General features: G+C 43.1%; 1 protein-coding gene across 22 annotated transcripts in view; it reads right to left on the reverse strand.

Annotated features, from left to right (window-relative positions):
- ACACA (acetyl-CoA carboxylase alpha) overlaps window positions 1-12,520 on the reverse strand; it is a 321,845-nt gene that overhangs the window by 242,340 nt on the left and 66,985 nt on the right. For 14 of the 22 annotated variants that reach the window (XM_006721853.2, NM_198834.3, XM_047435882.1 and 11 more), the window contains 2 exons: window positions 12,473-12,519; window positions 2,842-3,094 (listed from right to left, as the gene is read on the reverse strand). In XM_006721853.2, the coding sequence (XP_006721916.1) occupies window positions 2,842-3,094; window positions 12,473-12,519 (300 nt within the window). Of the gene's footprint in view, window positions 1-2,841; window positions 3,095-12,472; window position 12,520 lie in introns of those variants that run through there. The other 8 variants (XM_011524701.2, XM_047435891.1, XM_011524704.3 and 5 more) reach the window with 3 other exon arrangements.

Raw genomic sequence — 12,520 nt, forward strand, 5'->3', positions numbered from 1 at the left:
TCACCATATCCAGAAGTGACTTAAGGAATGGATAAACAGAAAACGTTTTTTCTATTTTAGAACATTAGCTAGCTGAGGAGTGAGTTGGAACTGGCATTGTCTCCTTTCCATGCTGCTGATCACACTTCAATCCATGGCTCCTCCACGAGCTACGGACATGATTTTTGCAACAGTAAGGCATGCAAAGAAATTCCAGACACTCATGCCACTGACCACATAGACTTTGCATAAGAACCATCAACTTTGGGAATGACTTGGCAACTACAAACTGCCTTGTGATATCACTAGCTGAGTTTCTTATAACACATTTATCTCACCATAGCCAAACTCAGTTTCCTAATCCAGCAAATGGATATTATGTTTCACATAGACTCAAACTGGACAGATTTCTCAAGGTGCTGTGTGGTTTTATGGATTTAGAGTTAAACCAGTCTTTCTCAACAGGGGCACTACGACATTTTGAGTAGCAGATTTCTTGGTTGTGTAGGATTATCTACTATACCACAGAAGGTTTAGTATCATTGGTCCTTTGTCCTTTGTCCGATAAATGCAAGTAGTCCTGCCAGTCACAACCCCCCAACACACTTCCAAATGACCTCAAGAGAGAAGAATGCCACCACTAGTATTAACCTTAGAGCCAATCATTAAGTGAACTATAAAATAAAAAATGTTTACATAAAGACCTAATCCCTTTTCCCTGCCACTAAAATACTGCTCTCTATTCCTCTTTTTAACCCAGAGATAATGCTTTGTTCACTAACTCCATAAAACCAACTTTGTCTGAACTAGTTATATAATTAAGACACCTGTATGGACGGGAAAGTAGAGTAGAAAAGTTAGTGAAATAAAATCAGGATATGAGTTTGAATCCAAGTTCTCTGGCTATTCAAACTTAGGCAAGTTATTTCTCCTCATTGGGCCTTAGTTTTCCCAACTATCAAAAAGTATTTTGTGGCCAGGTGTGGTGGCTCATGCCTGTAATCCCAGCACTTTGGCAGGCCATGATAGGAGGATCGCTTGAGGCCAGGAGTTCAAGACCAGCCTGGGCAACATAGCAAGACCTCTGTCTCTATTTAAATAATGTTTTAAATTAATTTTTTAAAATAAAATAAAATAAAAAGTGTTAGGCTAAATTATCTCTCTGGTTTATTACAATTCTAGGAACCTGTGAAGTAAAACATAATTAACTTGCTTTACACTTTTCTTTTGACCTCTACATAGCTAAATGAGGGTGACCACTAACGAACACTGCCTAGTCTCTCAGAAGCCCCGATCCCAAGCCCCAGGGATAACAGTAAGACAGAACAATCACATCCAGCCAGATCTCATACAGGATTTTATTATAGAGTTGATATATTTAGTGTATAAAATAGAGCTGAATTATTTTATGACCCATTAATAATAAAGGTGCCAAGATAGTAACAGCAACAACAGCCACCCTAACTTATGTTATCTAGGGTACACCTATAATCTGAATGCTGGCTGTACACAACAATCACCTGGATACCTTAAAAAAAAGCCCCAGTTCCACACCAAGCCAGTATCAAATGAATCGAAATCTCTGGGGATGGGGCTTATCTCCCAAGGCTCCCCGAGGTGATTCTGATGAACAGTGAGAACCAAGAACCACTGATCCAGACCTTTTAATCCAAGAACTGAAAAGTAAATGACCAAAGGTTAGTATCTCACACGCTAGTTATATAATCAAACATCGATAAATAAAAACAATCTAGTGTTACTATGTACTGACATTCTCAGTTAGGGAGAACTGTGTTTCTAGAGAAAAAGGAGAGCTCTATTAACAGCCCTTTATTGGGGACTGGCCCTGCTAGAAACAGAATATAACTTCCTGACAATCTGATGAATTAGTTCAAAAAAACTTACTACGAAGTTGACAACACCTGGAGAAGTCCTATCAATCATCAAGATAGTTAGAACAATGTTAGTCAAAGTAGTACAAAAACTGATGTTCCTCAACCTAACTCTTACTCACTAGGTCTCACTGAAAGACCTAGCAGGTAGAAGTGGCCAGGTGTAGTGGTTCATATCTTTAATCCCAGCACTTTGAGAGACTGAGGCAGGCGGATCACTTGAGGTCAGGAATTCGAGACCAGCCTGGCCAACATGGCGAAACCCGGTGTCTATCAAAAACAACAGAAATCAGCTAGGCGCAAGGGCATGCACTTGTAGTCCCAGCTATTCAGGAGGCTGAGGCAGGAGAATCTCTTGAACCTGGGAGGCAGAGGTTGCAGTGAGCTGAGATTGTACCACTGCACTCCCATTTGGGCGACAGAGTGAGACTCTATCTCAAAAAAAAAAAAAAAAATAGGCTGGGCGGGGTAGCTCACACCTCTAATCCCAGCATTTTGGAAAGCTGAGGTGGGCGGATCACAAGGTCAGGAGTTCAAGACCAGCCTGGCCAACATGGTGAAACTCCATCTCTACTAAAAACACAAAAAATTAGCTGGGCATGGTGGCAGGCGCCTGTAATCCCAGCTACTTGGGAGGCTGAGGCAGAAGAATTGCTTGAACCCAGGAGGCGGAGGTTGCAGTGAGCTGAGACCGCACCACTGCACTCCAGCTTGGGCAACAGAGCAAGACTCCGTCTCAAAAAACAAAAACAAAAACAAAAAAAACCTAGTAGGACATGAAAAATTTGATGGGAACATACATGATTTCTGAAAAATACATCATTTCTGACTTCCTCAACAAAGCTTTGAGTTCAGTGACATAGGAAAAGGCAAAGCAGTCTTAGCTGAAATCATCCTTGCTCTTTTCAGAACATAATCAGCAAAACTAACAAGACAGATTAAATAAGTAGACCATTGAACTCTCTCTTACCTTATGTGCAAGGCCAAGCCATCCTGTAGGCTAGAGATCCCCAAATCAGAGAGTGTATCTGAGCCAACAGAAGCAGGTGACAAGGAGCCCTCCTTCTCCTCCAGTAGGTCCAACTTCACCAGGTTGCTGATCTCATCCTCTGAGTTATCTTCAGACACAGAACCTATTATGAATCGAGAGTGCTGGTTCAGCTCCAGAGGTTGGGCCAAGGGAGATGGTTCATCCATTATTCCTCCAAAATGAGCTCTTACAGCTATGGAGAAAATGAAAAGTGAGAAAGGCAGGTTATGAATAATAATCTATATCTGAGGTCAGCCAGAGGTTATATCTAATAAACCATAGCTGAGACGTGGAAGCAAGGCAATTTGAGAACTAACTTCCTTGGCTATTCTATTTCAGGGCCTTTAATTTCTACAAGGGAGGAAAATTGAGATCATGATAACTATGCCCATAAATTAAAACCAGTTCCCTTTTCCTCAAAGAAATTTTTCTCAAAAGCCTATAAGGCATTCCTAATCTCATTTTCATTTGGTGGTGTCCAGGAAATAATTATGATCAATGGGGAAACCTTTGCAGTAGGAAAAAGCTGCTTGTTGTGATATTGATATTTTGGTTGTTAGTAATGGGGGAATAAATGGTAAGGGTCTGGATAGAGTAATGGTTGTTTGAAATAATATTTAAACTACATAATGCTCATCTGGCTTCAAACACTATATATTGAGAGGCTATAACTTTTATTTTATTATTTATTTATTTGAGACAGGGTCTCACTCTGTCACCCATACAGCATGCAGTACTACAATCATGGTTCACTGCAGCCTCAAACTCTTTGGGCTCAAGTGATCCTCCTACCTCAGCCTCCCCAGTAGCTGGGACTATAGGCACGTGCCACCATGCCCGGCTAATTCTATTTTTATTTTTCATTTATTTATTTATTTATTTATTTATTTATTTATTTATTTAGAGACGGAGTCTCGCTCTGTTGCCCAGGCTGGAGTGCAGTGGTGCGACTGCCACTCACTGCAAGCTCCGCCTCCCGGGTTCATGCCATTCTCCTGCCTCAGCCTCCTGAGTACCTGGGACTACAGGCACCCGCCACAACACCCAGCTAATTTTTTGTATTTTTAGTAGAGATGGGGTTTCACCGTGTTAGCCAGGATGGTCTCGATCTCCTGACCTTCCGCCTCAGCCTCCCAAAGTGCTGGGATTCCAGGTGTGAGCCACCGCACCCGGCCTATTTTTTTTTTCTTTTTTGAGACGGAGTCTCACTCTGTCGCCCAGGCTGGAGTGCAATGGCACGATCTCAGCTCACTGCAACCTCCGCCTCCCGGGTTCAAGCAATTCTCTGCCTCGGCCTCCCAAGTAGCTGGGATTACAGGTACCCACCACCATGCCCGGCTGACTTTTGTATTTTTAGTAGAGATGGAGTTTCACTATCTTGGCTAGGCTGGTCTTGAACTCCTGATCTCATGATCCACCCACCTCAGCCTCTCAAAGTGCTAGGACTATGGGTGTGAGCCACTGTGCCCGGTCTAATTTTTAAATATTTTGTAGAAATGGGGACTCCCTATGTTGCCTAGGCTGGTCTTGAACTCCTGGGCTCAAGCAATCCTCTCACCTTAGGCTCCCAAACTGCTGGGATTACAGGTGTAAGCCACTGTGCCTGGCCTATGAATTTTACGTATGTGTATACTTTTAAAACAAACTCCAGATAGGTAATTTTTAATTAAAAAAAAAAAAACTTTACTTGTCCTCATGAGTTTTTTCTTAAATTATGCATTTTAAAATGTCACCCCAAAATGACTACTTTTGGCTCTAATGTGCTGACACTGATATGAGAAGAAAATGAATCTATCACCAAATTTAAAATCTATAATCACCTCAAGTAAGTATAATTTTTCTAAATGTAGGGCCTTACCAGTTAGGATTAGATACTGCCAATAGCTAACTAAGAAACTAATTAACAGCAAACCATCATGACACGTGTTTACCTACATAACAAACCTGCATGTTCTGCACATGTATCCCAGAACTTAAAAGTATAATTTAAAAAAAAAAAAGAAAGAAAAAGAAACTAATTAATAAAGACCAAAACAGCAACATTCATTCTCTTTTATGGAATGAAGTGCTGCCCATAAAAATTTAAAAATATTTTTTAAAAACCAAAATAAGAGCCCACAACAATAAAAACCCAAACTAAATGAAACAATATTTCTTCTGTCATCTCAAAAATCCTATTTTAAAATTTCAAAACTACAGATCAACTCAGTATTAAATAGCTTGTACCCAGATCAATTATTTTAATTCAGAAAATAAGCCTGGGCGCGGTGGCTCACGCCTATAATCCTAACAACTTGGGAGGCAGAGGCAGGAGGATTGTTTGAGTCCAGGAGTTCAAGACTAGCATGAGCATCAAAACAAGATCCCATCTGTACAAAAAAAAAAAAAAAAAGATTGGCCGGACGCGGTGGCTCACGCCTGTAAATACCAGCACTTTGGTAGGCCGAGGTGGGTAGATCACCTGAGGTCAGCAGTTCAACACCAACCTGGCCAACATGGTGAAACCCCGTCTCTACTAAAAATACAAAAATTAGCTGGGTGTGGTAACAAGTGTATAATCCCAGCTACTCGGGAGGCTGAGGCAGAAGAATCACTTGAACCCGGGAGGCGGAGGTTGCAGTGAGCTGAGATCATGCCTCTGCACTCCAGCCTGGGTGACAGAGTGAGACTCTGTCTAGAAAAAAAAAAAAAAAAAAGATTAATAATTCCCAATTGTGGACCTTTTAGAGGTTCCCTTGACTGATCCCGACCTCAACTTGTATACTGATGGAAGTTCCTTTGTAGAAAAAGGACTTTGAAAAGTGGGGTATGCAGTGGTCAGTGATAATGGAATACTTGAAAGTAATGCCCTCACTCCAGCAACTACTGCTCAGCTGGCAGAACTCATAGCCCTCACTCAGGCACTAGAATTAGGAGCAGGAAAAAGGATAAATATATATACAGACTCTAAGTATGCTTACCTAGTCCTCCATGCCCATGCAGCAATATGGAGAGAAAGGGAATTCCTAACTTCCAAGGAACACCTATCAAACATCGGGAAGCCATCAGGAGATTATTCTAGGCTGTACAGAAACCTAAAGAGGTGGCAGTCTTACACTGCCGGTGTCATCAGAAAGGAAAGGAAAGGAAAGGGAAATAGAAGGGAACCGCCAACCAGATATTGGAGCCAAAAGAGCCGCAAGGCAGGACCCTCCATTAGAAATGCTTATAGAAGGACACCTAGTATGGGGTAATCCCCTCCAGGAAACCAAGCCCCAGTACTCAGAAGAAGAAATAGAATGGGGAACCTCACGGGGACATAGTTTCCTCCCCTCAGGATGGCTAGCCACCAAAGAAGGAAAAATACTTTTGCCTGCAGCTAACCAATGGAAATTACTTAAAACCCTTCACCAAACCCTTCACTTAGGTATTGATAGCACCCATCAGATGGCCAAATCATTATTTACTGGACCAGGCCTTTTCAAAACTATCAAGCAGATAGTCAGGGCCTGTGAAGTGTGCCAAAGAAATAATCCCCTGCCTTATCGCCAAGCTCCTTCAGGAGAACAAAGAACAGGCCACTACCCAAGAGAAGACTGGCAACTAGATTTTACCCATATGCCCAAATCTCAGGGATTTCAGTATCTACTAGTTTGGGTAGATACTTTCACTGGTTGGGCAGAGGCCTTCCCCTGTAGGACAGAAAAGGCCCAAGAGGTAATAAACGTTCATGAAATAATTCCCAGATTCGGACTTCCCCAAGGCTTACAGAGTGACAATGGCCCTGCTTTCAAGGCTACAGTAACCCAAGGAGTATCCCAGGTGTTAGGTATACAATATCACTCACACTGCGCCTGGAGGCCACAGTCCTCAGGAAAGGTGGAGAAAATGAACAAAACACTCAAATGACATCTAAAAAAGCTAATCCAGGAAACCCACCTCGCATGGCCTGCTCTGTTGCCTATAGCCTTACTAAGAATCCGAAACTCTCCCCAAAAAGCAGGACTTAGTCCATACAAAATGCTGTATGGACGGCCCTTCCTAACCAATGAACTTGGGCTTGACCGAGAGACAGCCAACTTAGTTGCAGACATCATCTCCTTAGCCAAATATCAACAGGTTCTTAAAACATTACAGGGAGCCTGTCCCCAAGAAGAGGGAAAGGAACTATTCCACCCTGGTGACATGGTATTAGTCAAGTCCCTTCCCTCTAATTCCCCATCCCTAGATACATCCTGGGAAGGAAACTACCCAGCCATTTTATCTACCCTAACGGCAGTTAAAGTGGCTGGAGCGGAGTCTTGGATACATCACACTCAAGTCAAACCCTGGATACTGCCAAAGGAACTCAAAAATCCATGAGACAATGCTAGCTATTCCTGTGAACCTCTAGAGGATCTGCGCCTGCTCTTCAAATGACAACCAGGGGGAAAGTAACTAAAATCGTAAATCCCCTGGCCCTCCCTTATCATATTTTTCTCTTTACTGTTCTCTTACCCCCTTTCACTCTCACTGCACCCCGTCCATGCCACTGCACCCCGTCCATGCCCCGTCCATGCCAGTAGCTCCCCTTAGCAAGAGTTTCTATGGAGAATGCAGCGTCCCGGAAATATTGATGCCCCATTGTATAGGAGTTTATCTAAGGGAACCCCCACCTTCACTGCCCACACCCATATGCCCCACAACTGCTATAACTCTGCCACTCTTTGCATGCATGCAAATACTCATTATTGGACAGGAAAAACGATTAATCCCAGTTGTCCTGGAGGACTTGGAGGACTCACTTCACTCATACCAGTATGTCTGATGGGGGTGGAGTTCAAGATCAGGCAACAGAAAAACACATAAAGGAAGTAATCTCCCAACTGACCTGGGTACATAGCACCCCTGGCCCCTACAAAGGACTAGATCTCTCAAAACTACATGAAACCCTCCATACCCATACTGGCCTGGTAAGCCTATTTAATACCACCCTGACTGGGCTCCATGAGGTCTCGGCCCAAAACCCTACTAACTGTTGGATGTGCCTCCCCCTGCACTTTAGGCCATACATTTCAATCCCTATACCTGAACAATGGAACAACTTCAGCACAGAAATAAACACCACTTCTGTTTTAGTAGGTCCTCTTTCCAATCTGGAAATAACCCATACCTCAAACCTCACCTGTGTAAAATTTAGCAATACTATAGACACAGCCAACTCCCAATGCATCAGGTGGGTAACTCCTCCCACACGAATAGTCTGCCTACCCTCAGGAATATTTTTTGTCTGTGGTACCTCAGCCTATCATTGTTTGAATGGCTCTTCAGAATCTGTGTGCTTCCTCTCATTCTTAGTGGCCCCTATGCCCATCTACACTGAACAAGATTTATACAATCATGTCATACCTAAGCCCCGCAACAAAAGAGTACCCATTCTTCCTTTTGTTATTGGAGCAGGAGTGCTAGGCGGAGTAGCTACTGGCATTGGCGGTATCACAACCTCTACTCAGTTCTACTACAAACTGTCTCAAGAACTAAATGGTGACATGGAATGGGTCGCTGATACCCTGGTCACCTTGCAAGATCAACTTAACTCCCTAGCAGCAGTAGTCCTTCAAAATCGAAGAGCTTTAGACTTGCTAACCGCGGAAAGCGGGGGAACCTTTTTATTTTTAGAGGAAAAATGCTGTTGTTATGTTAATCAATCCGGAATCATCACCGAGAAAGTTAAAGAAATTCAAGGTCGAATATAACGTAGAGCAAAGGAGCTGCAAAACACTGGACCCTGGGGCCTCCTCAGCCAATGGATGCCCTGGATTCTCCCCTTCTTAGGACCTCTAGCAGCTATAATATTGTTACTCCTCTTTGGACCCTGTATCTTTAACCTCCTTGTTAAGTTTGTCTTTTCCAGAATCGAAGCAGTAAAACTACAAATCGTTCTTCAAATGGAGCCCCAGATGCAGTCCATGAGTAAAATCTACCACGGACCCCTGGACCGGCCTGCTAGCCCATGCTCTGATGTTAATGACATCAAAGGCACCCCTCCCGAGGAAATCTCAACTGCACAACCTCTACTACGCCCCAATTCAGCAGGAAGCAGTTAGAGTGGTTGTTGGCCAACCTCCCCAACAGCAGTTGGGTTTTCCTGTTGAGAGGGGGGACTGAGAGACAGGAATAACTAGATTTCCTAGACCAACTAAGAATCCCTAAGACTAGCTGGGAAGGTGACCGCTTCCACCTTTAAACACCGGGCTTGCAACTTAGCTCACGCCCAACCAATCAGATACTAAAGAGAGCTCACTAAAATGCTAATTAGGCAAAAACAGGAGATAAAGAAATAGCCAATCATCTGTTGCCTGACAGCACAGCAGGAGGGACAATGATCGGGATATAAACCCAGGCATTCGAGCCAGCTACAGCTACCCTCTTTGGGTCCCCTCCCTTTGTATGGGAGCTCTGTCTTCACTCTATTAAATCTTGCAACTGCAAAAATAAAAATAGAAAAATAATAATTCCCAATTGTGATTTTGAAGTGCTCTAAGATATGGTACATTAATAGATAATAAATGTATTATTAATAACTCTGTATGCTATAACTCACTGTAAAGTATGAAAGTAAGTGGACAACAGTGTTCCTTGACATCAGATGAGAAACCGTCAATACTTTAAAATGTTTGGGAATCACCACTCAACATGTGAAAATTACATATGCACGATTGTTCTGGTGTAATTTGTGAGTCAGTTTACTCACTTACAGAGACAAACAGCATTTATAAATGCTAGAGTAGTGTGGTTCTCAAAGTGTGGTCCCTGGACCATTGGCATCACCTGGGAACTTGTTAGAAGTGCAAATTTCTTGGGCCCTTCCCCAGACCAACTAACCATATCAGAACCTACAGGCCAGCATCCATTAATCTATGCTTTCACAAGCCCTAAAGGTTGAGAATCACTGTGGTACAAGAATAAAACAGTAATTAACAAATTGGCAAGACTGCTAAAACAAAACTAAAGAAAACCTATACCAGCCTGGGCACTATAGTGAGATCCCATCCCTAAAAAAAAATTTTTTTTAATTAGCTGCATGTGGTGGCATGCACCTGTAGTCCCAGCTACTGGGGAGGCTGAGGTGGGAGAATCGTTTGAGCCCAGGAGTTCAAGACTGCAGTATGCTGTGATAGCACCACTGTACTCCAGCCTTGGTGACAGAGCAGGACCCTGTCTCAAAAAAAAAAAAAAAAAGAAAAGTAAAGAAAACTATAGACATTTCCCTTTTTTTTAGAGGCAGGGTCTTGCTCTGTCACTCAGGCTAGAGTGCAGTGGCACGATCCTCGTTCACTGCAGCCTCAAACTCCTGGGCTCAAGCAATCCTCCAACCTCAACCTCCAAAATAGCTGGGACTACAGGCATGCATCACTATGCCTGGCTACTTTTTGTTTTTTTGTACAGACAGCATCTCCACATGTTGCCCAGCCTAGTCTCAAACTCCTGAGCTCAAGTGATCCTCCCACCTTGGCCTCCCAAACGGTTGGGATTATCAGTGTGAGCCACTGAGCCCAGCCTAACATTTTCTGAAAGTGAACTGGAGATTACTTTAGCTAACTTCTATCTTTAAAACTAGAATCAGCTGGGCGCAGTGGCTCACGCCTGTAATCCCAGCACTTTGGGAGGCCAAGGTAGGTGGATCACAAGGTCAGGAGATCAAGACCATCCTGGCTAACATGGTGAAACCCCATCTCTAATAAATATACAAAAAATTAGCCGGGCGTAGTGGCGGGCACCTGTAGTCCCAGCTACTCGAGAGGCTGAGGCAGGAGTATGGCGTGAACCCAGGGGGCGGAGCTTGCAGTGAGCAGAGATCACGCCACTGCACTCCAGCCTGGGCAACAGAGTGAGACTCCGTCTCAAAAATAAAATAAAATAAAATAAAATAAAATAAAATAAAACAAAACTAGAATCAAATATAAAAGTATGATGCAACATGAGCCAAGATCACCACTGCACTCCAGCCTGGTGACAGAGCGAGACTCCGTCTCAAAAAAAAAAAAAAAAAAAGTATCATGCAACAAAAAAAATTTGCTGTCTAAATTTACTATACATTTCTCCCTTGAAATATTAGGTCTTAAAAAAAGTTCAAGATCAGCCTGCCCAACATGGGGAAACCCCATCTCTACTAAAAATACAGGCCAGGCACAGTGGCTCATGCCTGTAATCCCAGCACTTTGGGAGGCCGAGGCAGGTAGATCACCTGAGGTCAGGAGTTTGAGACCAGCCTGGCCAACACAGTGAAACCCCATCTCTACTAAAAATACAAAAATTAGCCGAGCGTGGCGCATGCCTGTAATCCCAGCTACTCAGGAGGCTGAGGTAAGGAGAATCGCTTGAACCTGGGAGGTGACAGAGCGAGACTCTGTCTCAAAAAACAAAAAAAAACAAAAAACCTTTAAAGGGCTCCCATTATTTTTGGCCAGGCACAGTCGCTAATGCCTGTAATACCCAGCACTTTGGGAGGCCAAGGTGAGCGGATCACCTGAGATCAGGAGTTCAAGACCAGCCTGGCCAACATGGTGAAACCCCAACTTTACTAAAAATACAAAAAATTAGCCAGGCGTGGCGGTGGGCACCTGTAATCCCAGCTACTTGGGAGGCTGAGGCATGAGAATTGCTTGAACCCAGGAGGCAGAGGTTGCAGTGTGCCGAGATTGCGCCACTGCACTCTAGCCTGGGTGACAGAGACTCCCTCCGTCTCAAAAGAAAAAAAAAAAGGAAGAAAAAAGGCAGAGAGGGAGGGAAAAGGGGTAAAAGGGAGGGAAAAAGAAAGAAAGGGGGAGGGAAGGGAAAGTTCCAACAGACTGACCACACTGAAGAACACCAAAAGTTACAGCAGCAAAAAGCCTATTTCTTTCACATTTACAGCAGTAAATAGTTAAGTTTAAAAGTAACAGTAGATCCAAAAAATAAAATCCCATCCCAACTAACAGAAGATAATGGGTGCCTTCTTCACAAAGTAAGAAAGCAAGGCACTCAGGTGCAGATTCTAGCTTGCAGTCTGACTGAAGTTAGATGACCACACACAAAAGAGAAAATCCACAAGGCACAATTCTTTGACTCCATGGGAGAAGAAAAAGAGAGTTAATAAAACACGGTTCCTGGGCTAATAAGTGAGAGTCTCAATAAGGCCAACTTCAAGTTCCTAGCTAAGAAGACCATGAAGGCAGCTTTCACTAAACGGTTACATAGATTGGAGGCAACTCAGTGTGAACAGCTAAAAAGCCTGTCCAGCAACTGTACTGAATAGTATTTCCCAGGCACGAGCCTACAAACCAACAGAAAAGAGAGGTCATGTATGGAAAATTACTGAGTAGCTGTCCAGACACTCTAGAAGCTACTCCACAGCCTGTCCCATTTCCACTGATTCTAGTCCTGAATTAAAGAGAGAATACAGTTGAGTACCATTGTTAGACTCTTTGTTCACTTCAGGTTATCCACCCTAAATCTGCCTATATTATTTTGTGGAAGTCAACTTTTAACACAAAAGCCTACAGTTTGATATTTTACAACATGAACAAAATTTTTATCACATTGTAAACAAGGAGTATTATTTGTAACTGACCTCTTATAATTCTTACTGTCTGAGTAGATATCCACTTCCAAAAAGACC

This window comes from Homo sapiens, chromosome 17, assembly GCF_000001405.40.
Source record: "Homo sapiens chromosome 17, GRCh38.p14 Primary Assembly".
NCBI lineage: Eukaryota > Metazoa > Chordata > Mammalia > Primates > Hominidae > Homo > Homo sapiens.